The 22196-nt window shown below is 42.6% G+C and overlaps 1 protein-coding gene across 8 annotated transcripts in view, besides 1 other annotated feature; it reads left to right on the top strand.

Moving 5' to 3' along the window:
* Window positions 1-22196, top strand: part of SEMA5A (semaphorin 5A) — a 511043-nt gene that overhangs the window by 87404 nt on the left and 401443 nt on the right. For 7 of the 8 annotated variants that reach the window (NM_003966.3, XM_011514157.3, XM_006714506.4 and 4 more), the window contains exon 2: window positions 20820-20916. The exons of the other annotated variant lie outside the window; for it this stretch is intronic. The gene's annotated coding sequence lies outside the window, so the exon portion shown is untranslated. The remainder of the gene's footprint in view (window positions 1-20819; window positions 20917-22196) is intronic. 8 annotated transcript variants of the gene reach the window in all.
* Window positions 2100-2639: an enhancer, noted in NCBI's record as "NANOG-H3K27ac hESC enhancer chr5:9456145-9456684 (GRCh37/hg19 assembly coordinates)". NCBI's record gives its function as "activates a minimal SCP1, AML or CMV promoter by ChIP-STARR-seq in naive H9 embryonic stem cells {active_cell/tissue: H9 hESC(naive)}" and the evidence as "EXISTENCE:reporter gene assay evidence [ECO:0000049][PMID:30033119]".

The following is a 22196-nucleotide window of genomic DNA, read 5'->3' as shown; positions in this document are numbered from 1 at the left end:
CTGTAGAGTCTTCCCTCCCTCACCCTTGGAGCTTCTGTGTTTGGCTCTCTCCCACAGCCCCAGAGCAGTTTGCCACCATCTTGTGTGGCTTGCTGGGCAATCTGACCAAAAGCTGCCTTGGCGTGCTGGGTGGCGTATGGGCGAGTGCCTGCTATCTGAATCACCTTAACTGCCTTGTTGCTGATGTGCTTATGAGGAGGAGCAGCTTAAAGTTTGATGAAGGAGTGTCATTGGCAAATGTTCATCTTAGTTTAGGGTTTATGGGTTCTACATTATTTCAAAAGCTTGAGAAAGAGCGAAAGATTCATCAGATCAATTTTTAGGAGGTAGCAGACTTGATGATTTAGAACAAAACTGCTATGACTAGGGAACAAAGAAGGCCCTTTGTCATTAGCTCTTTGTGCCTTTACACAATTGTGATACATAATGGCTTTGTCTCATCCTTAAATAAAAGGAGAGATGCTGGGCCAGGCGCGGTGGCTCACGCCTGTAATCCCAGCACTTTGGGAGGCCGAGGCGGGCGGATCACGAGGTCAGGAGATCGAGACCATCCTGGCTAAAACGGTGAGATCCCGTCTCTACTAAAAATACAAAAAATTAGCTGGGCGTGTTGGCGGGTGGCTGTAGTCCCAGCTACTGGGGAGGCTGAGGCAGGAGAATGGCATGAACCCGGGAGGCGGAGCTTGCAGTGAGCCGAGATGGCGCCACTGCACTCCATCCTGGGTGACAGAGCGAGACTCTGTCTCAAAAAAAAAAAAAAAAAAAAAAAAAGGAGAGATGCTGGTTTTTCAAGAATTATTTTTCTTTCCTTTTGTACCTCATATCAAAATCTTATCCTGTGACCCTTTCAAAACATGTAGCCCCAAAAGGCATCAAATTAATGTATTTAATTTTTCTTTTTTTGAAAAGTTGTTTGGAGGAAAAAAACCTTCCTAATAGCAATAGGATGAATCCTTACAGTTGTAAAATACAGAGGAAGAATTCAAATTCCCAGACAACTAGACTTGTTAGTCCTCAAATGGGCCTTAAAGAAATTAATCTAACATACCTTATTTTTTATATTAAGCAAGGAGGCACAGATGGGTAAAGTCATGGATGCAGGCTCGTAGAGTAGACCATTCCAACACTCTTAACCATCAGCCCTTTGGTGTCAGAAATATTTGTTTGTTATGATGATAATAATATTGAAGGGTTAAGAGCAATTTTGAGTGAGGAACTTGGTATGCATATTGTTGGAACCTCAACATTTACTTGCAACCTGGTTGCTGTTACCTCTCTTTTACAGAAGAAGAAACTGAGAGAAGTTTTACAAAACAAAAAACAACAGAAATACATATCCACTCTGCACAGGTAGAAATTGGTGACAGGGTTTGAACTTAGATCATGGTGCGATTTCTACTCCTCTGAGGAGCTTTTGAGAAGTCCTCTTCAAGGAGAGTTTGCGTGTTGTAGGTTTACCACGTTTCCTCTTTCTTTTAAGTATCTTAGGAAGTTCTAGGCCATAGTTTGCACATTCAGACATTGAATTTAGAAGCAGCACGTGGTTAGTACAAACAGGGAGACTAGCTATTTTCCTAAAAGCTCTGAAATAGATACATATTTGGGCTAATTTGCTAGGCTCGATCTAGAATGTGTAGGGGGTATAACAGTATGAAAATTCCAGATCTTTCAATGTCTTAGAGGCTTTAGTTACGTTCATGATGGAGAAAGTATTCCTGGAGAGATGAAAGGCAAGTTTAGTTGCTCTGTAGAAAAGTGCGAGCAGGGCAGGGTACTTCTGATCTCTCTGTTTGATCCTGTTCTACTTGGGTAAGACAGCCTCTCTGTTGTCATTTAAACACCTCATTGAATGGCAATTTCCAAATGGTTCTTTAAAATGATGTCTGCTGAGAGCCAGTGCTTCTTGAAGTTTCCCTCAGTGCTGTTTTTCCCCCCTTGCCTTGAATCACAATGTTTATTTTTAAAAGCTTTTGTGGTTCCAGCCTTCTGCCTTTGTTATTGCAGCTGGGCTGACTTAGACCTCCCTTTTCTCCTCCAGCCCCTTTGTGGTTTGGGGTCCAGTTAGGCTGCATGAGGACTGGGCTGAAGGGACGGGAGTCTGAGGCCATGACACATCTGCTTTTTGTTAGCTCCTAAAATCACAGGTGTCCTTAATTGTGCTCTGCCTGCTCAAAGAAGCCTTCCTTTTTTTCTACTTGTCCTTTTTCCTCTGTTTTCTCCTTGAAATCCCTTGAAGGTTAGAGTTTTTAATTTTCTTGTTTTGTTGTGTTTTGTTCTCTGCTTCCTAACCTCCTTCCTCTTCCTTGGTCAAATCCTGGTGCTCATCTGCACCCAGACGCTTGTCTTTACAGAAGCAGCCAGTTGCAGAAGAGGATAAACCTCCCAGGTAGGGAGAGTGTGGCTACCACACACAGTTTCCTCCTTGGCATGGCCAGGGACAGAGCAGCTCTGGGTCGAGCTGTGTAGCAAGTGGCTCAAGCCACACTGACAGATGAAGCTGGTGAGTGGAAATTCTTCAGGGAATCTAGAAAGATTTGCTTTAATTAGAATTTATGCCCCAATCTAAGTCCTGTAGCTGCAGGCCTCTCTGAAACAAAGAGCTGGCTCTTTCTGTCTTTGGCAGAGACTTGATTCTTTTTAAGCACCTCCTCTGGATTGTCCTGAAATTCTTTTCATCCCTTTCTCCTCTCAGTGCTTTGTGCATTTGAGATTCTCCATAATGTGTCCCCTGCTGACTCACTCCTGCTTCCCCGAAGAAGAAGGGTCTTCTGTAAGTTTTAGTCAAATAACAACCATTTCTCTGCTTTTCAGTTCAAAATTTTAGTGGGTCGTAAGCCTTCCTTTCATGTTGTCACCAGATCTTTTTAAAGCTCTCAGTTAATTTATTTATACACACGTCCTTGTTTTAGCTTCTAATATTCTGAGAGATTGGGGGAATTTTAGAGCCTGGTTTGGCTGAAAAGTCAAATGGAATAGTCATTTTTAAATAATTCTCACAATTTCTTACTATAAGATTGCTTGATTGCAGTTTAAAACCCTTCTCTGTTCTGGCCCATTCATGTTGACATACTGCTTCCTAGTCCTGATGCTTTCTCTAGAAATAAACTGCAATATGCGGCTGGGCGCGGTGGCTCATGCCTGTAATCCCAGCACTTTGGGAGGCCGAGGCGGGCGGATCACAAAGTCAGGAGATTGAGACTGTCCTTGCTAACATGGTGAAACCCCGTCTCTACTAAAAATACAAAAAAATTAGCTGGGCATGGTGGCGAGTGACTGCAGTCCCAGCTACTCGGGAGGCTGGGGCAGGAGAATGGCGTGAACCTGGGAGGCGGAGATTACAGTGAGCAGAGATCAGGCCACTGCACTCCAGTCTGGGTGACAGAGTGAGATTCTGTCTCAAAAAAAAAAAAAAAATAAATAAATAAAATAAAATAAAATAAATTAAACTGCAATATGCTATCTGAGCAGGAAACTCAGACAGAGGTGCCGTTAGTCTGCAGTTCACTCAGCTTCAGGGACAGGGACAGGGTCAGGTAAAGCCCCATCTTATGCTGGTGGAATGAAAATTCTGGTACCTGAATCCTATTTGTAACTCTTGAGTTTGATTTGTCACTCATAAATTATTCTGATTTTCTTCATGAATCCATTTTTGGAGACTACCAACTTAGATTTTTTGTGATCATGATAGAAATTAGTCTTCTAGGATTTGCAAAATAGTACGTGTATCCCTTTATTAGTACATCTCTGAATCTGAGAACACATGTCATCTAGTTCTTTTATTTTTGTTCACTTTCTTTTGACAACTGACAATGTAGAAATGGAGGTAGAGAAAGATACTCAAATTTCCTTTTCGTCATAAAGAGAGGAAAGTGGTTTAAAAGGAAACCAATTCCATTCCAAAAGGTAGTGGTTATAGTTCTTAAGATTATAATACAGAGGAAAACATTGCTAGAGGAGAAGCGCTTAAGACTATCAGGAAGCAATAAAGTGAGGGCTTTGGACCTTTTTATGCTGTGACATTTATGAATCACTTTGCTTTTTTGTTTTGTTTTGTTTTTACGTTAAGATCTCAGTGTACTAAAAGTCATTCAATTGAATTAAGATGCTTTCCTGGATTGGAAAAAAACAGCACTGGCTGTTCTGTACTGGTTTAACTTTTTCTCCTTTACACATTTTGTAGCAAGAAAACCTTTTTCAATTCAACACAGAACAGATGCGAATATATCAAAGGGACAACTTGTGACTGTTGGTATTTGAAGGTTCAAGTTAATAGCCTTGGTTAGCCTTGGTCATCAGGAATATATTATCACAAGTGTAATGAGACACAATCAGCTCTTCAGATTGTAATCACCCCTTTAGTCTGGAGAACAAAGATCATTATCTGATGAGAAGATGAGGATCTGGTTCACATTATGTAATGAGAGCAGTAAAGAGTCCCATGAGTCACAGCCAGAGCCTCCTACCTCCATTCAGCACGTGACCTTGGCCACCAGCCTGTCGTCCCTGATGCCTGTCAATGGTACAGATTTGTGTTTCTGAGGAGTCTATTTTTCACTCCAGGATGACTTCAGAAAGGTCTCCGCCCAGGGTGGCTAGTGCTAGACAGTCAGGCACCAGTGGCTCCCAGCTTTCAGTTAGCAAGATAAGTTCTGTGCTCCCCTGAAGCAAGAAGGCTAGTACTTTGCTTTCAGGAGTGAGTAGGTAGCTTCCATTGGATCTCCCTCTGTGGAGCTGATTACTCTTCTGAGTGAACTGAAAAAACTCTACTTACACAGTCCTTCAGGTTGGCCTGTGATGATCCTGTGTCAGGCTGGGGAAGACTGTTAGGGTGTTATATCTGTTGCTCATGTCCTTTGATATTTTACGTCTTTTCTTCTTATCATTGAGAGCATGTGGTAATTATGCTCTATGAAGTCACTGCAAATACTGAATTAGCAAATCCTGAACCACTGCTCCTAGGGGAAATATAGGGTTTGGTTCCTGCGAGCCTCTGGTCACCATATTTTTGTCAACTGATCAATAAATAACCTTGTTTCAAGTGCATTTTTTGTTAAAAACAACTTATTTAATATGCAATTGGTTCATTAACATTGAACTCATGGTCAATAGCACTATAATTGATGCCTGAACAAGGCTTATCTAACACATGCATTTTCTTCATAGGGCACATCACAGCCTTCCTGCACTTAGGAATACCAGCCAGTTCTGCAGCCCTATGCTTGGGGCCATTTTAAACAGACAAATCACCAACAAAAAGTACAAGAGTGCAAAAAATGTGGCACGAAATAGAGGATGTGGCACTTATTTTCAGTATGAGAGCTGAAACAAGAAGGTGATAGGATTGCCTTGTCAGACCTCGGCTGGGAATGCCTGTTGTCAGGAGACTCAAATTTTCACTGCTCATGTCCATGAATGGCTGGGAAGTGCCTCAAGTTTTGATTCTGAGGTTGCAAATACACTTTAGCTAACAGGTGAATTTGCAAATATGTAATCTCTGGATAATGAGGTCCAACTGTATTTTTCTTTTATGAATCTCAATTACTATGTAAAATAAATAACATCTAGACTGATCTGACTCCTTTTGCACTTTTAATCCCACAGGTATAAAGTACGTGTTTAGACTTAGGATAATGAAGCAGGATTTTCTGTCTATGTCAGTGAGTATCTGTGGTGGTTGCAGCATTTCTGGTGGCAGATCAGAGTCTGGTGGCATTGAGTCATTTGACAGGCTTTTCCCTCTGAGGCACCTCTCAGAGTAGTCCTTCTTCCTGGATGATGTATTAGACCCCGTTGGGAGCCTTAAAACGAGCTTTTTGCCTGCCCTCCTGATGGCATTATTGTCGTTGGGCTTCATTGCTTCTGCATGGACCTGGAGGAGAACAGTGACTCTGGAGCTTTTGTAATAAATAGCTTCTTCAGTAACAAACTGGGTAGGGAAACTGGGGTTCCTCTTATTATATAATTTAGACCTGCATCTCAGTTTTTCTTTTAAAATTTTGTTTTGGGAGAGTGTGGCTAGAAGCTAAAAGAAAGTTTTGTTTGGTCTGGATTAAAAAATGCAGCTGTATTTGCGGGGGCTCACCTTGACTTTCATTTCAACATAGCCTTAATAATTCCTTCCAAAGCAGAATGCCACCCTGTTTGCCCTGGTGGGAGCAATTAGAGGCAGGGCTGGAATAATCTGAGGTGGGATGCATCTTGCCTGAGAGAGTGTGTATTATCAGGTGTCAGGGAACGCTGGCTGTGACTGGATAGCAGTTCTTCTTCAAGCTGCTGACTTCTGTTGACAGGGCTAGGGCAGCTTTGGAATTCCAGTGCAGCTTCAGCTCCGGGAAGCAAACCACTGCTTCACAGCCATGTGTCTGTCAAAGCAAATTGGAATTGAGGAGAAGGGGGCTCCCTCTGGCCATATGAGCTAGAATGAAGATGTCTTTTGAGCAGTGACAGCTTCCAGAGTGAATGTTCTTGGGGAACAAAGCCATGTCATTGTAATTTCTCTGACCTTCCTTCCTTTAATGGTCTGTCCTCAGCATTAGGAGACAGGGCAGGGCCAATTCTGAGCTGTAGGGGTGACAAATGGAAGAAATCTGGTGGAAAAGGTGAAGGAAGTGGGTGAAAGGAAGAGTCTGTTTCTACTGACAGAGTTTATTATGTAACATCAGGCAGATTAAGTGTAGGGCTAACGCCTTTCAATTATTCAGATTTCCTTCATCTTTTTTTCCTCCTCTTCTACCAGGTGGCTCGGGTAGAACTTCAGTCCTTACTTGTTGTTTCCTCCATGCTGGGTAGATTGCCTTGTCTGCTAAGGAGAGTTACTGTCTGCCATCCTCAGCCGTGCAGGAAAGAAGACGGGGAAGGTGACATGGCCCCAGGTTCACAGCAGAGAGAATCAAGAAACCTGGGCCATTTCTTACCCTCCTCATTTTATTTCAGGGAGGTTGTGATCAATTTGCATCTTCTTAGCTACTGGTGAAAGAACTCTGTGTACTCCAGAATGTAAAAATAGGAGAAATCTAACCTGAAGGGATTGGGAGTAGTTGGTCAAGGAATAGCAATAACCACCATATTATTGCATCAAATTATGGTTTGGTGGTTTACCTTAGAAGCCTTTGAGATAAGCAGCTGTCACCAACATTTCACCCCACTTTTCTGACTATGGCTCTTTTACAATAGTTAGGAAAGTGGCATGACTTATGAGATTGTCAGTGAATAATGGATAGCTATGCCCCTTCTTCCAGCGTACCCTGAAAAAGAGAAGCAGTAAAGGGCACATAGGGCAAGGCAGTTTGTTCCCAGTCTAATGATGGGTTTTGTCATCTCCCCAACAATGCTGCCAGCTTTCCATTTGAATGAGGAGTCTTGTTTGTTGTTTAATTTCCCAAGCATTTACAGTGGCTGCTGTAATGATAGGATGGTTCATGATTAGATGGTTTCTCTGACGGGATGTGTGAGGAGACAGAGACAGATTTTATATTAGCATGCAGCAGAGTGGCTAGATGTCTGCTGATCTGAGAGAGGATATAGATGAGAAGCGTAACCGACAACAGCCTCTTAGTTGAACCCTTGAGTCTGTATATTAGAAAAAAAATCACAAACAAGGACAGGTCTTTGAACTGCTGTAGTCTGACTTTATTTCTGCGTCATTGTTTTGTCCCCTTCAGAGTTATACAAGCCTTTCTTTTTAAAGCTCTGTATTCAATTATTAGGCTGATTTCTCTTATGGAGTACCTTCCCATCCACAGACCTAAAAAGCAGTTGATGAGAATTCTAAGTGTGAGCTAACCAAGTACAACATGTAATAAAGTCAAGATTAAAACACACATTTTGAAGTCAAGCACAGAATGCTGCTAAGGACATATTGATTTTCTGATGCTGAATTAACTAAAACTATTTTCCGTTTCTTTTTTTTTTTTTTGATGTGGTAGATCACATTATAACTTCACTTTTATTTTAGCCAGAGCACATATGTGTTTTCTAAAGCCTTCTGTAAAATAGAAAACTGGGCAGTGAGAAGAAAGCTCCTTCAAACTTTTCTCTGTGGCTGACTGGGGAGAGGGGACAGCTGGGTGAGTGGAGAGGGGTGTAGGTGTGACAGGCAGCAGCAAGGGAGATGCTTTCAGGTCATTGGATGGGTGAAGGAGCCTGAAGCCTATGATTATGGAGGGAGAATGGGAGTCCAGACAGCAAAAGTGAGGACTGTTTTAATCAATGACTGCAGAATTGCTATATAGAGGAACACTCCTATTAAACTGAATATCATTAATTTCAGATACTGGAACAATGTATACTTAGCAACTGGCCTGATATCTATGAAAAGTGAGCTTACTAAGTGGATTATCCATATAAGCATGACATTTACAAAGATAATGTTTATATTTCTAAGGGGAAGCTATTTTCCTTCTTGGTCCCTATTGGCCACCGGGTTGGCCTCGTTCTCCCCACTTGACTGTGTTCATGAGCAGCCCTTCTCCTCTGGAAATGTCTCTGAGGCTGAGAGTGGTTCTCAAGGGCAGTGGAGACAGCCGCCCCAAGGGGGTCTGTAGAAGGATCCTGGTATAGGGGACTCAGCTTAATGGACAGGAAGAGGGGAGACATCGGTATGTTTGCACAGGGAAGTCTGTGCAAAGTTGAGCTTTTATGAGCATGAACAGGATGGACAGCCATTGTTATCTAAAACAGGGGGACCTAATCTCCTATGAACAGCATTGAAGGCTTCTTCTGAGACTAGAAAACCTCCTAAGGAGGATTGAAAAGAGAATTTTATTGTGAGGAAAGATGGGATCAAGGTAGGCCTAGAGCCTCTGGAGGAGGAAGCTGCAGTTTTCTCTAGCAACTTGTAAGAAAGGGGTTCCTGCATGCTGCTATCTGCCAAACGTTACCCAGGCACCTTCTGTGTGTGTGGTATCTTCTAGATCTGGGTGAGGCTTAGGTCATCTCCAGGTACCACCCGGGTTAATTTCCCCTGCATTTTTGGGTGATTTTGACTGATGTTAAAGCTAACTTTAGGGATATGCCCCTGTTAATATTTACACACATTCTGAGATAAAAATGAGAAATGTTCATCAAACTGTTGTTCTTTTTTTTTTTCCTTCAACTTTTATTTTAAGTTCCAGGGTACATGTGCAGGATGTGCAGGTTTATTAAAGAGGTAAACATGTGTCATGGTGGTTTGTTGCACAGGTCATCTCATCGCCTAGGTATTAAGCCCAGCATCCATTAGCTATGCTTCCTGATGCTCTCCCTCCCCCATGCTCCCAACAGGTCCCAAGGTATGTTGTTCCCCCCCATATATCCATGCATTCTCATTGTTCAGCTACCACTTGTAAGTGAGAACATGTGGTGTTTGGTTTTCTGTTTCTGCATTAGTTCGCTGAGGATAATGGCTTCCAACCTCATCCATGTCCCTGCAGAGGACATGATCTCGTCCCTTTTAATGGCTGCATAGTATTCCATGATGTGCATGTACCACATTTTCTTTATCTAGTCTATCACTGATGGGCATTTATGTTTATTCCATGTCTTTGCTATTGTGAGTAGTACTGCAGTGAACATACGGGTACATGTATCTTTATAACAGAATGATTTATATTCCTTTGGGTATATACTCAGTAATGAAATTTCTGGGTCAAATGGTATTTCTGCCTCTAGGTCTTTGAGGAATCGCCACCTGTCTTCCAAATGGTTGAATTAATTTACGTTCCCACCAACCAAACTGTTGTTCTTGAATATGCTCATTTACTTAGGCCTGGCCTTGGGAATGTGAAGTCAGCTGACTAAGACAGATGCCTGCCCTTGACCAGGAGACAGAGAAGTAAACAATGGAGGGTGATGGGAGAAACAGAAAAGCCAGCATCACATGTCACGGTCACAGAGGAGAGGCAACAACATCACACGGGGATGTCAGGGCCACCTGGATTTCAGAGAGCCAGCAGGCAGGGATGTTAGGATGAATGGCTTCAGTGATGAAGTCAAGCCAATAAGATAAAATCTAAAGAGCAAGAATTACAGAGATCTGGATTTAGTTTCATAAATAAACTTCACAGGTACCACGAGGAGAGGTGTTACTATCTCAATGGCTTAGCAAACCAAAACCAAAAAGCAGACTAACACCAGCAGTCAGTTTAATACTGTTAATTCCACAAAGGGAGGGGAGGAGTTGTCTTGACAGATGATGAAGGGGAAACATAAACCCAATTCCACTGTTGGGGTAGGCAGAAGGGGCGGGGCTAACTCCCTGCTAGGGGTTTACCATGTGTCAGGCATAGCCCTAAGCACTGTCAGTGTAAAATAATGAAACACAGTTTTGTCAAACATGGTTTGCATTTCAGGCTGGTCTTGTTTCCTTCCCATTTAGTTCCACAGAGTGGACATCCATTGAATGTTGGCAGTTGGGATAGACTCTGGCTCCTTTAATAATTGGTGAACTTAGAACTTTCCTGAGATTATTCATGGTTTCTCTTCTATATGTTAGGTCCATAGGATAGCTCAGAAAGGTTGGGGAGAGTGTCAAAAGTAAAGAGGAGGACACTGTTAAATCAAGTTCCTGGGTTGAATTTTTAAGGGTATGTGTTGGGAAGCAAAGGGAAGAAGCATCTTGGCCCCTCCAAAAGTGCATCTGCTTCCCCAGCAGGTTGACTTCAGGACATGCCGACCTTTTGGTTCTGTTTGGGTGTCCGACTGGATCAGGTTGTCTCCTAGATGAGGGCTGTAGAGTGGGCAGAGAGGCATCATGACTAATCAAAGGCAGCTGGCATGGGTGCTTTTACATATTAGTGAAACTGTTCCATGTCTTCATTTGGGAGGAAGTTTCAGGACAGTTTGTGCTAAAATGGATGACATGACTCATTGCCAAATGTGAAAAAAATAAGTCATTACATTCCCCCACATGTGTAAACTCTCTAAACACAACAGTGTTTATAGGAAGGTAAGACACCATCTGGTTTGTTGTGTTGTAGCTTATTTCTCATTTTTAATCACTAATTTATATTGAGGGGATGACAAATAGAACAGAATTAGATTTTTGGTTGTGCGACACACTCAGGGATTCATATAGTGTTAAGTCCTCTATAAAACATGAAACAAACGTTTAGGTGGAATTCACATTCCTGAGCAAGTTGCCTGCATGCCGTAATGCGAAAATGAGATGCTATTTTCTTCTTTAGGCCTTGGTGCCCATCTTGGACGATGAAAGACCTGACAGGTCATTGGGACTGATTCAGGAGGATTTAAAAGTCTTCTTTTTCATGTGTTCAAAGAAGCGAACATTCTAAAATGACTCCAGAACATTCACTAGGTTTAAGCCAGAATAGAACATCAGAGTTTGTCTTCCAAGGCAAAACGCAATTGGCTTGGCCCAGATCATTGTATACCATGTAAAACAGTGACACTAGGGCTTAGGTATCTAAAATAAGTGAAGTCACAGAGAGCCCAATATGCACATTGGATTGGCTTGCACGGGTTTATACTAATCTTCTTTCCATTACTGAGTTGAAGGAGCACATCCTTTCATTTCTCTTTTCTGAGTGTGTAGCTAGAAAATTCTAAAAATCTACTGCCTGTTCTGTTTTTAGGAAAATATTTTTCTGAACAATTTAACCAATTGCCATTTCACTAATAATTCATTGTGAATTTCACAGTTAGCCAACTTTTATGGGATAAATGAGCCCCTCTCTGTTTTCATATTTCTTAACAGACTTGTCTGCCTCAGCTCAGCTTTTTCTCTGAGAAAGGTTTGGTGTCAGATGTGGTTTAATCTGTGGCCGGCATTTCGCTCTTCTATGTAATGACCAGAGGGCGGATATAAGAACCCAGCCCTTTTTTTATGTTTTAACAGAGATAGTTAAGTAACAAGAGTAGTCAAATAATTTTTTAAAGAGTTAAATCTTAATATTAAAATTAAATCTTAAATTTAGATCTAGAGTTAAATCTTGAGTCTCCTTTGTGTAGGCAAACTACTGCTTACAGAATAAGTCTTGTTGGCTGTGTAGTTCTGAATAAGTAGGAATTGAGAGACCACATTTTTCAAAGGGTCTCAGACACCCTTTTTTTCTAGGGACTGAGATTTTCCTCTACAAAGGATTGATCAATTTAGCTGTCAGAGTGGAAGCCCAGAGGCCGGCTGTCCTTGCAAATTAACTGGTTGTGCAAGCTCTTCAAAATTGCCTGCATGAAAAGTGAGGTGGCCTTTTGAAAATCTGGCACATGGTGGCCAAAATAAGAAAGTATTCACTATTCTGAGGCCCTGGTGTCCTTAGAGAGCGCATAACAGAAATTGCTCATTTTGAGCACTTGCTTAGTTTTTGGCAACCTGTTTGCTTTAATAAAGAAGTCATTTTTGCCCCCTCTCTTTCTTTCCCTCAGCCCCATGCCTCTTTGCAGTTCAGAACACATCATTGTCTCATGTGAGAGTAATGAAATAGGAAGTGTTTACTCCAGCTTTATTTCCGTTACTGAGGCAATACTGAGTGCCAGCTATTTCTACTAGCTTTAAATATTCACCAAAGGATAATCTGCATGAAGACAAAATGGAAAACAATTGGATTTCTTCCTTCCAAACTGTTGTTAGGATTAGTCAATGCTTTGAGAAACAAAATCCCCTGTTACTGTGTTTATTTTTCTTTAGCTCGGAGCTATGTTTAATATTTCTAGATCATTCCATTCACAGTGACTACTGTCTGATGGAGAGAGGGGTCTCAGGCTGGATCTGGGCATGAAGGCTCCAAGTGGGAAGAGTATTTCTCTTTCATGCCATCTTACTCTTTGGATACAACTTGTAGAAGTGCCTGCTCTTCTGTACAGGAAAGTAGAACTTGCCCCTGCCAGTCATAGAGCCAGATATTTGCATGATTAAATGACCCAGGTGTGAGGTCATGTGTCATCACATGGGGACTTATTGTCCATGAGGCCTTGACCTCTGGGACTGGTCTCCAGGTGTTCTTACTTTGGCCCTGTGGGAGCCAGAGACTCAGTGAAGGGGAATCTCACATCTGACACTTTTTTTTTTGAGACAGAGTCTCACTCTGTCACTCAGACTGGAGTGCAGTGGTGCCATCTCGGCTCATTGCAAGCTCCGTCTCCCGGGTTGACGCCATTCTCCTGCCTCAGCCTCCCGAGTAGCTGGGACTACAGGCACCCGCCACCACACCCGGCTAATTTTTTGTATTTTTAGTAGAGACAGGGTTTCACTGTGTTAGCCAGGATGGTCTCAATCTCCTGACCTCGTGATCCGCCCACCTCGGCCTCCCAAAGTCCTGGGATTACAGGCGTGAGCCACCGTGCCCGGCCCACTTTTTTTTTTTTTAATGGCACGAGAGATATTTACCGAAGGGATTCTTTATTAAATGTTCTTGGTAAATATGTGGAATTATTTCTAGATCAAATATTAGCTGGTTCCTAATGAGATTGTTTCTGATTTGGGGAAAAGCGATTCCAAAGGCTGAATTCCTTGAGGGCAGAGACCTCCCATGTCATTGTGGTGTTATGCACGTCATTCAGCACAACATCCAGCATGCTAAACTGGGATGCAGGAAAAATTCTCTGATTGGAGGTTCAAGCTGATGTGGAAAGTAAGGCCATTTATTTGCTTATTGGAATGCAATATTATTGGATATCTATAACGATCTGATTGTAAATATGTGTGTGTGTTTTCTTTCTCTGTGCATTTATTTTGTCCCACATTTTGTGTAAGGTCTCTAATGTGTAAGCCATGGGTGTTTGCATCAGTGCTGTCCCTGCTAGAGACACCACTTCATTCAGAACCTGTTTGTCTGTGCACAGCTTGGCTGGGGTCCTGCACAGATTCTGTATTCAGGCCGGTGCGGGCAAACCAAGAGGCAAAGGAACATCCTTAAGAAAGAAAAACCGTTAAGAGATGGGCCCACTATATCCCATCTCTTTCTAACTCCGCTCTCAGCATTTAGACATCACAATGTCAAATACCGTTCAAAATTTAGGTGGTGCAACTACTGGGTATCTACCCAAAGGAATATAAGTCATTATATGAAAAAGATACTTGCACATGCATGTTTATAGGATCACAGTTCGCAATTGCAAAAATGTGGAACCAACCAAAATGCCCACCAATGAACAAGTGAATAAAGAAACTGTGGTATATCTATACAATGGAATACTACTCAGCCATAAAAAGGAATGAATTAATGGCATTCACAGCGACCTGGATGAGATTAGAGTCTATTATTCTAAGTGGAGTAATGCAGGAATGGAAAACCAAACATTGTATATTCTTATTCATAAGTGGGAGCTAAGTTATGAGGATGAAAAGGCATAAGAATTACACAATGGCCTTTGGGGACTCAGGGGAAAGGGTGGAAAGCGGGTGAGGGATAAAAGACTACAAATAGGTTGCAGTGTATACTGCTCAGGTAATGGGTGCACCAAGATCTTACAAGTCACCACAAAAGTTTGGTTACACTTACTCATGTAACCAAACACCACCTTTTCCCCAATAACCTTTGGAAATAAAAAAAAAATTAAAAAAAATAAACTAAAAAAAAATTTAAGTGGTGATATTGAACAAATCCAGAGATCTATCTTTAAAAATTACATCATTTTTCATTTGAGTCCTGACCCTGTCTTGAATGTAAAGTGGCCAGCAATCTCATATTTGGGAGTCTCAATGGACTTGCTCCATGGATCAGCCTCTGACCCCAGCCAGTGCTGGCCTGTAGAGGAGAGAAGGGGTGGGGTATGCGGCTGCTCCCTGGACCATGGTAAGAGTGGTTGGGGCTGGCTGCTGCCTTCATCCTATAATTTCTTCATCACCTCAAGCTTTTGTGCATTTTGCTTTTCCTTTTCAAATTGTTTCCTTGAATGCTGGAATATTTGCCCAGGAATGTGGTGGTAGCTGGCAGCAGACGTTCTGCCAGTGGAAGGGAATGGCCAGGAACTGGCCCTCCTCCCTCGTACCTGAAGCTGACATTGCTGTTATTTGTATCCTTCAAAGATACTAATGCAGGCGTGAGAACCATATATGGTATTTAGAACTTTTGTGAAATAAGTAGATTTTAGCTGCTCTTACCTCAAAAAATGTAACTATGTGAGATGATAAATACGTTAATTTGCTTCACTAGAGTAACCATTTTACTATCTATATGTCACCCATTACATCATGTTGTAAACCTCAGTTTTCCATAAAATTTATTTTAACAAAAGTTGAAGGAAACAATAAAAGTCCATTTTATAATGATAGATTATATCATATTTTTCAGTTGGCTGCACCATTTCAGGACATCCTGTTATCCCTGTAGCTGCTTCTAGGGTGTTTTTCTTCCCCCTCTTCCTTTTCTTTTGCTCTTCCTCCCCTCTCCCCTCTCTCTGCTTTCTTCCCTATAACTTTTGCCTCAAAGCCTTGTTCTCTGTTCCTGTCACCCACTCTTTGTTTTCTTGAGTGGCTGGGGTTTCCAAGGACCCCCAGCCACAGAGATTGCCATTCTTTCAAGGGACATTATTATCCTAAATGTCCACTGTCGATTTATCCAAGCACATTCCTGTGGAGACCACCTGTGGAACAAGTGACAGAGGCTGTCAGAAGTGACCTAATGGAAGCCTGGACACCCAGGCTACGGACAGTGACAGAAAGGGTTGCAGTGCGTATAACCAGAGTGAATGGCGTTTCATTATCCCACAGCCCACATCTGAGTGCTGGGTCCTCCACATAGTTCCTGTCAATCAAACCAGTTGGCATTGGATGAAGGCAATTCCAAAAATAGTGTCCTTTACTCATTTTGTATTTTCATTCCTACTGAGAAAATTCTGATTTTCGTCATTTAGTTTATTGCCCTAAATTCAAGAACATTCATTCCTCAGTAAGTACATGCTGAGTTTTTAGACTGATGTTTCTATATAAGTGATTCTTTGCAAAAATGGACTGTGATGTTTTGACTTTTTATTTAGCATATTTTAAAATCTATTTTAGATAGTTAATATATTTCTGGGAATGTGGAATATATTTTCTTTGTGAATAATTCCAATGCGATAGGCCATTTGTTGCTCCTGGGTTTTAAATGTTGATGTTTAGGGCTGAAGCTGCACACTTAGTCATGTGGGGCCCCCTGACCCTGTTTGCCATGTGGCTCATGGGCACCCTCAGGATCAATGATTTACATGAAGAACTCTAAGAATGTGTAAAACCTGTTGTATTAGTGATTATGGTTGATCTCAGTCAAAGGGTACAGTAGTACCCTTTACACTCCAGCTGTGGAAAAGGTGCATAGCTGGAGTCCAGGAGAGGCTAGTCACGAGCTTCTGATGGTCTCTTTCCAGTGGAGACACGTGGACAGTGCTTCTTCCCCCACAAGGATGTATGACAACATGCATAGGGTGTTGCCAACCAGGCGACTTCACCTGAGCCTTGGTGTCCTGAGTTTTTATTGAGAATTGACCACATAGACATGGCCAGACTAATCCAGAGAGGCCCAAGCCCTCAGCCATTAACCACATGGTTAGCCTAGACTATCTGTGTGGCCTAAAGCCCCCCCAAAACAAAGTCTCTCATCAGGCAGGACATTCTAAGGTCTTAGAGGTGACTTCCCAGGAACTTGGCAAAGGCAAGTCCTTTGCTTGGCAAGGGCCATGTTCATCCTTCACTGCAATTCTCCTCATACCTGGAGTTCTCTGGTGGCGGCTTTTTACCCCAGCTTCTCCCCTTCTTGTCTTGTGCATCCTCTGCAGAGCTGCCATATTCACCCTCCCAAAGTTTGCTCATCCTGACATCCCACTGAACCTTCAGTGACTCTGCCTTCCTTTGGATGAAGTCTCATCTCTTTCTCATGTTAACATTCCCTACAATCTGTGTGTCATCTACTTTTCCCATCTGTTAGCTGTCTGGAGTGCCTCTTTTGAGCTCTCCATGCTCTTGCATGTGAGTGATCTTGCAGGTAGTCATCGTGGCACATGCTGCTGCTAGCCGATGCTGGCTGCCTCCACACACTCCTGATGCCACCCTCCCTGCTCCTTGGCCTGCCACCTGGAATCCACCCTCCTGTTTACTTCCTTGTCTTCCTCCAGGGACTTGAGCATGAGGCCAGATTTCTGTCTGTGATTCTTATGGCATTGCAGTCCAGATTTTTACCTTTGTGGAATTGCTTTTTTTCACCTATCTCATTCAGTTTGCACTCCTGCAAACTCTTATCTTGGTGGGCTCCGTGGTGGGGTTTCCACCCAACTCCAGGGATGGTACCAGGAACTCATGCTTTAACTCACCATGGTGCTGGCGTAAATGGCTCTTCTCTTATACCTGATGACTTTCAGCTGTTCCTCCCTCATCTACTGTTTGTTTCACCTGCAATGCACCCACTAAAACATACTTCACTGTGTCTTTTAATATCCTCCTTATCTCCTCCTCATCCCTTAGAGCCCACATCACATTTCCCATTTTCAGAAATCTTTTCCTTGACTCTTCTGCCCATAAGTAACTTCTCTTTCCTCCAATTCATAGTATATACTGAACTACATAGCAGAAAAATCATATAGACAGCTCCTGAGAGTGTAATAGGTTCTTGTTTTGTCTTCTAAGCATCCACCATGTGTGGCCATGGGGCTGTGCTGTGCATGGTGATTAACGGAGGGACTGATGATGAGAGGCCTGTCAATTAAATGCCATGGCACTGGTCTAAGTCTTGCCTTTGGGAAATGCTGGCCCAGCAGTTCTTAGGTTTCTTGAACCTGTATCTTTTACGGTTTCTTTTCATCACTCCACTAAACTTTCTGATGCCAGGTGGTCTTGTCCATTTTTATTTCCAGTGTAATCTTACTGTTGTACGGTTTCTAAATTCAGCTCATAAGACTGGCCTGGCATGTTAATTTCTGCCATGTATCTGCAGGATAAAGGCTACCACTCAGCTCAACTTTGGTCTCCAAAATAATGCTTAAGTCTACATCTTACCTCATTCTGAGTAAGTTGGGCAGGGAGAAGGTTGCATATTTTAGCAGAAAGTCATGTGCTGATGAGCACTTAGTAAGTTATAATTGGTATTCAATCTTCTTCATGTAGTTCCATCTAGAGACAATTTGAAGAGTGTAGGTGGCCACAGGGCAAAACTTCTGGGAAAGAGTTACTGTTTGTAAATCAAAAGTGTCGTCAAGATAGTTCTGCACATATATGTTCATGGTGGCATTTTTTAAGAGGCAGAACTCTGAAAATTATGACTCAGAGGATTTCAGAGGTTGTTGGCACCAAGGTTAAAGCTAAGCTAAAAGAGAAAAGAATAAGGATAATATGGAATTGAGTCAAATAGAGAAATTTATATGTTTATAAAAAATAAGCAGTTTCTTATTAAATGGGTAGTTAACTGTCGCTTAAAAATTTTCCAACTTCCAGTCTGGAGTGAGCCTCTGGGGCTTTGTAGTTTCTTTGCCTTTCAGCTTTCTTCTCAGTTTTCTAGAAAATATGTCAGTGATTTATGATTAATGCATTGGCTAATTTATGACCTTGCTGGGAGAGGACACGGGGGCTCTGCTTCTGGACCTGCAAGAATCATTGTCTGTTCCTCTAGCTTGGCTCCAACTCAAGGCCTCTGCTTTGTCACTATCATTTCTGTTCCTGAGTGCACGTTCCCAGGCACACATGGGTGTGTTGGTGAGCACCCTGTCTTCCCCAGGCAAGGGCTGACCCTCAGGAGCAGAAAGTCCCAACATGGCTCACTTGGCTGACAAGCCCCCAGGCTGTTAAAATATCTTTTTCACTATTTATGTAAACACAGGCACAGTAACAACCCTTTCGGGTGGACACCCTTGAATCCTGCTGCTGAGACTGATTTCCTGTTTAGACATCAAACTCTGTAGGAAGCTGTGTTTTCCCCCAAGCCAAGAGAGCTCTGTCCTGTGGGTATTGCTTTTCCACAAGGAAGGGGCTGGGTTTTGGAGTCTGTTGGTTGCACCAGGACTGTCTGGCGGTCCAGGCTGTGGGCTGTCCATGCTGGATTCGGCAGGGATGTCTTCTTCCTGCAGTATTTGCTCTCTGGTTGTGTTACTGATTGTGAATTCTTGCAATGATCTTTTTGGCCCCAGTCTCTTTCATTTAAGAGACTGACCCATATTCTGCAGGTGTGGTTTTGCTGTCCAGCTGAGGGTTCACATCAGCTCATTTGTGACCTCACTGGGGGAGGCAGGAGACCTATTAGCCCTGTTTTTAATGTAGTTCTGAGACATGGGAACTTACAGAAATTGCCAGCTATTCATGGCGGTAACCAGAGGATCTGTCAAACTTTATTACTTACATTTCAACTCAGATCTAAACAACTACAAGGACATTTTAGTAATAATTGTTGTAAAATAGATTTTAGGACTGGAGAGAGGATGCTTGTGTATTCAAACATGCCATTTAATAAAGGAGTTTCAACTAACATATTTTGTTGCCACGCCCAAAGGTGATATTAGTGATGTTGTGTAAAAGAAATTGGCCACTCTGAGGAATATTTCTGAGACTGAGTGTGCTTCCCTGGCTCCTCTTTTGGCTTCAAGGATTTGCATCTGCACCTTCTCCTGTCCAAAGGATGATGTCACGGACTTTTGAGGACTCTGCTGGGACTGGAGGATTGGCCGTGCTGCACGATATGAGGGTGCCTGGGCTGCTGGGGCGTCTCAGGCAGGCATGTCCCAGTGTGTTGCCCTGGGTCACCCCCTTGCTTCCCATGAACATACCAAAGGCCCGTCCTGGAGGAAGGGAGACTCATAGAGAGGCAGTGCCACCTTGACCTGTTCCCTGGCCTCTGAACCCTAGGGCTTCCAAAATGGCACTTCAGCAGGTATAACATTTTATAAATTTCCAGCTGCTGTCGTTCAGTTCATTTTCTGCAGGCAGATGGCCTCGGATCATGACTGAAGCTGACCGTGTGGGAATCACTGCCTAGAGGGACAGCCAGAATGTTCTGGGAAGTTCTTTCTCCCATTTTCCCTTCTTCAGGGTGGCGAGGAAGAATGTCAGGGTGTTTCACATTTATAGCAGCCAGAAGCTGCCACCTGGGAAGTGTAGAGAAAAACCAGATGAATGAAGAGAACAGAAAAAAGCATGAGCCCTGAAATGCAGTATTTGAAGTCACAGGCATCCTTCACTGGTGATGAACACATTTCTCATATGGATCATAGATGGAAAGTCACCTATATTTTCAGCCTCTGGCATACATGTTTCTAGGGAGGCTGGCGTTTCGTGGTCATCTTTCCATCCAATGACAACATCAAGGTTTCAGAATTTTTGTATATGAAATTGAATGACGAGATTGGACAGGTTTACTTGGTTTTGGTAAAGTGGCTTGTTTTTCACGATGCATCATTCCTTTTCCTATAAAGCCTCATAATTGTGCACCTAATAAATCAGTATGTAAATAAAAATACAAACTCAAATTTCTAGCAGAGTTTGTGCTACTGCCTTTGTCTCCTGTTCTTGAATTGTATAAGGTACCATGTGTTCCAAAAAGTGGAATGAGTCATGAAAAGGATAAATTCATATAATGAATCTTAATTTAATTTTCAGACTGCTTTAGATAATTTCAGACTGGTTAAGATAATTTTGAAATAATGGTTCTTCTGGATGTTTTATGAGAGTTATTTCATCTGTTAACAGCATTTAAATGTTTTATTTCTCCTTTTCTGAAGAAAAAGAATCCATTAGTGCACATGATCCTGAACTAGGGTAGCATGATTGTGATGCCAAGCTGGCCTGCGTCACTGCTTTAATCCTACGTGGCCAAAGCAGCTTGCTCTGATTGTTTAGGACTTTAATGGAACTTCATAGAACTCATGACCAATGACCACATCCTCTTTTAAAATGGGTTGACAGGATCTCTCTATTTTCTTTTTTGAAGTGTTGGTGTGTGAGACTTGGGCTGGAGTGCCCACGTGGCTGTGGAGTCAGTGTGATTCATGATTGAGGAAACGCGTCCTCCATCCTCTCTCTCCTTGGTAAGTGAGACATCTAAATGGGAAGTGAAGAAACTAAAAAAATTACAGATTGAAATATTTTTGACAGCTTGTGAGCTTTACTTCTGTTATTAAAAATAAGAGTAGGCTGGGCTTGGTGGCTCACACCTGTAATCCCAGCATTTTGGGAGGCTGAGGCAGGCTGATCACCTGAGGTCAGGAGTTCCAGCCTGGCCAACATGGTGAAATTCTATCTCTACTAAAAATACAAAAATTAGCCTGGCGTGGTGGCGCGTGCCTATAATCCCAGCTACTTGGGAGGCTGAGGCATGAGGATCACTTGAACCCAGGAGGCAGAGTTTGCAGTGAGCTGAGATTGCACCACTGCACTCCAGCCTGGGCAACAGAGCAAGACTTCATCTCAGAGAAAAAAGAAGAAAAGAAGAAAAGAAGAAAAGAAAAAAAAATGAGAGTTAATGAGCAAGCTTTCAGATAGAGAAATCTTTCAAGTAAAACAATTGTGGGCATATACCACCGCTACATCACTCAGGAACCCGAAGACGTGAAAAGGCTTAGATGCTTCTTAGCATCTTCTGCGCCCCAGTGTGACTGCCTACCTGGTTTCAGTTTTGTCTCCTGCAGTTACCTCTGTGCGCTGCCCCCACTTATTTGCAGTGCATACCACTGTCATCTCACTTCCTGTCCTGGGACCTTCTGCAGTCCCCTGTACCTGCTGGGTAAGCCCTAAACCTCTCATGATACTCTCAGGGATCCTCCTGGTCAGGCCTCCACACAATTTCCTCCTTCCTGTGGCCCTGGGACAGTGTAGGGACTGACCCCCCACTTCACAATGATCTGTTCCCACCACGAATCGTGCTTGTTTGGATCTTCCAAAGGCTGGCTCAGAAATGCTGGCTTCACAGGAGCCTTTCTGAAGCACTTTAGACCTAGGTGTTGCTACCTTCTGGGAAGGCTAGAAGAGAGGAAGGGGTGAAGGGGGATAGAGGACTAGTTGTGTAGGGGAGGAACAAGTAAAGTGAGAGAAAGTGACAATTTCATTCCATATACTAGTCACTGCAAAGACACTACCATTGTTTATTAACTTATTTATTTTTCTCCCTAACTAAATTACCGTCTCATTGTGGACAGGCTTATATTTTTTCCCCATTCACAAAACACTTTGCTGATTTTAGATAATCCAGAGATTTTCTGAATAATTGGTGACCATTCCTGCTCTTGGATTATGAGTTACCAGTCCCTGGCTTCGTCTATGAGGAAGGAGGCTAAATGGGTCTTAGAGCTGGGCCCTCTGTATAGATGTG

Source organism: Homo sapiens, chromosome 5, assembly GCF_000001405.40.
Source record: "Homo sapiens chromosome 5, GRCh38.p14 Primary Assembly".
NCBI lineage: Eukaryota > Metazoa > Chordata > Mammalia > Primates > Hominidae > Homo > Homo sapiens.
Note: the sequence above shows the minus strand (reverse complement) of the source record. Positions and strands in the feature narration are given on the sequence as shown.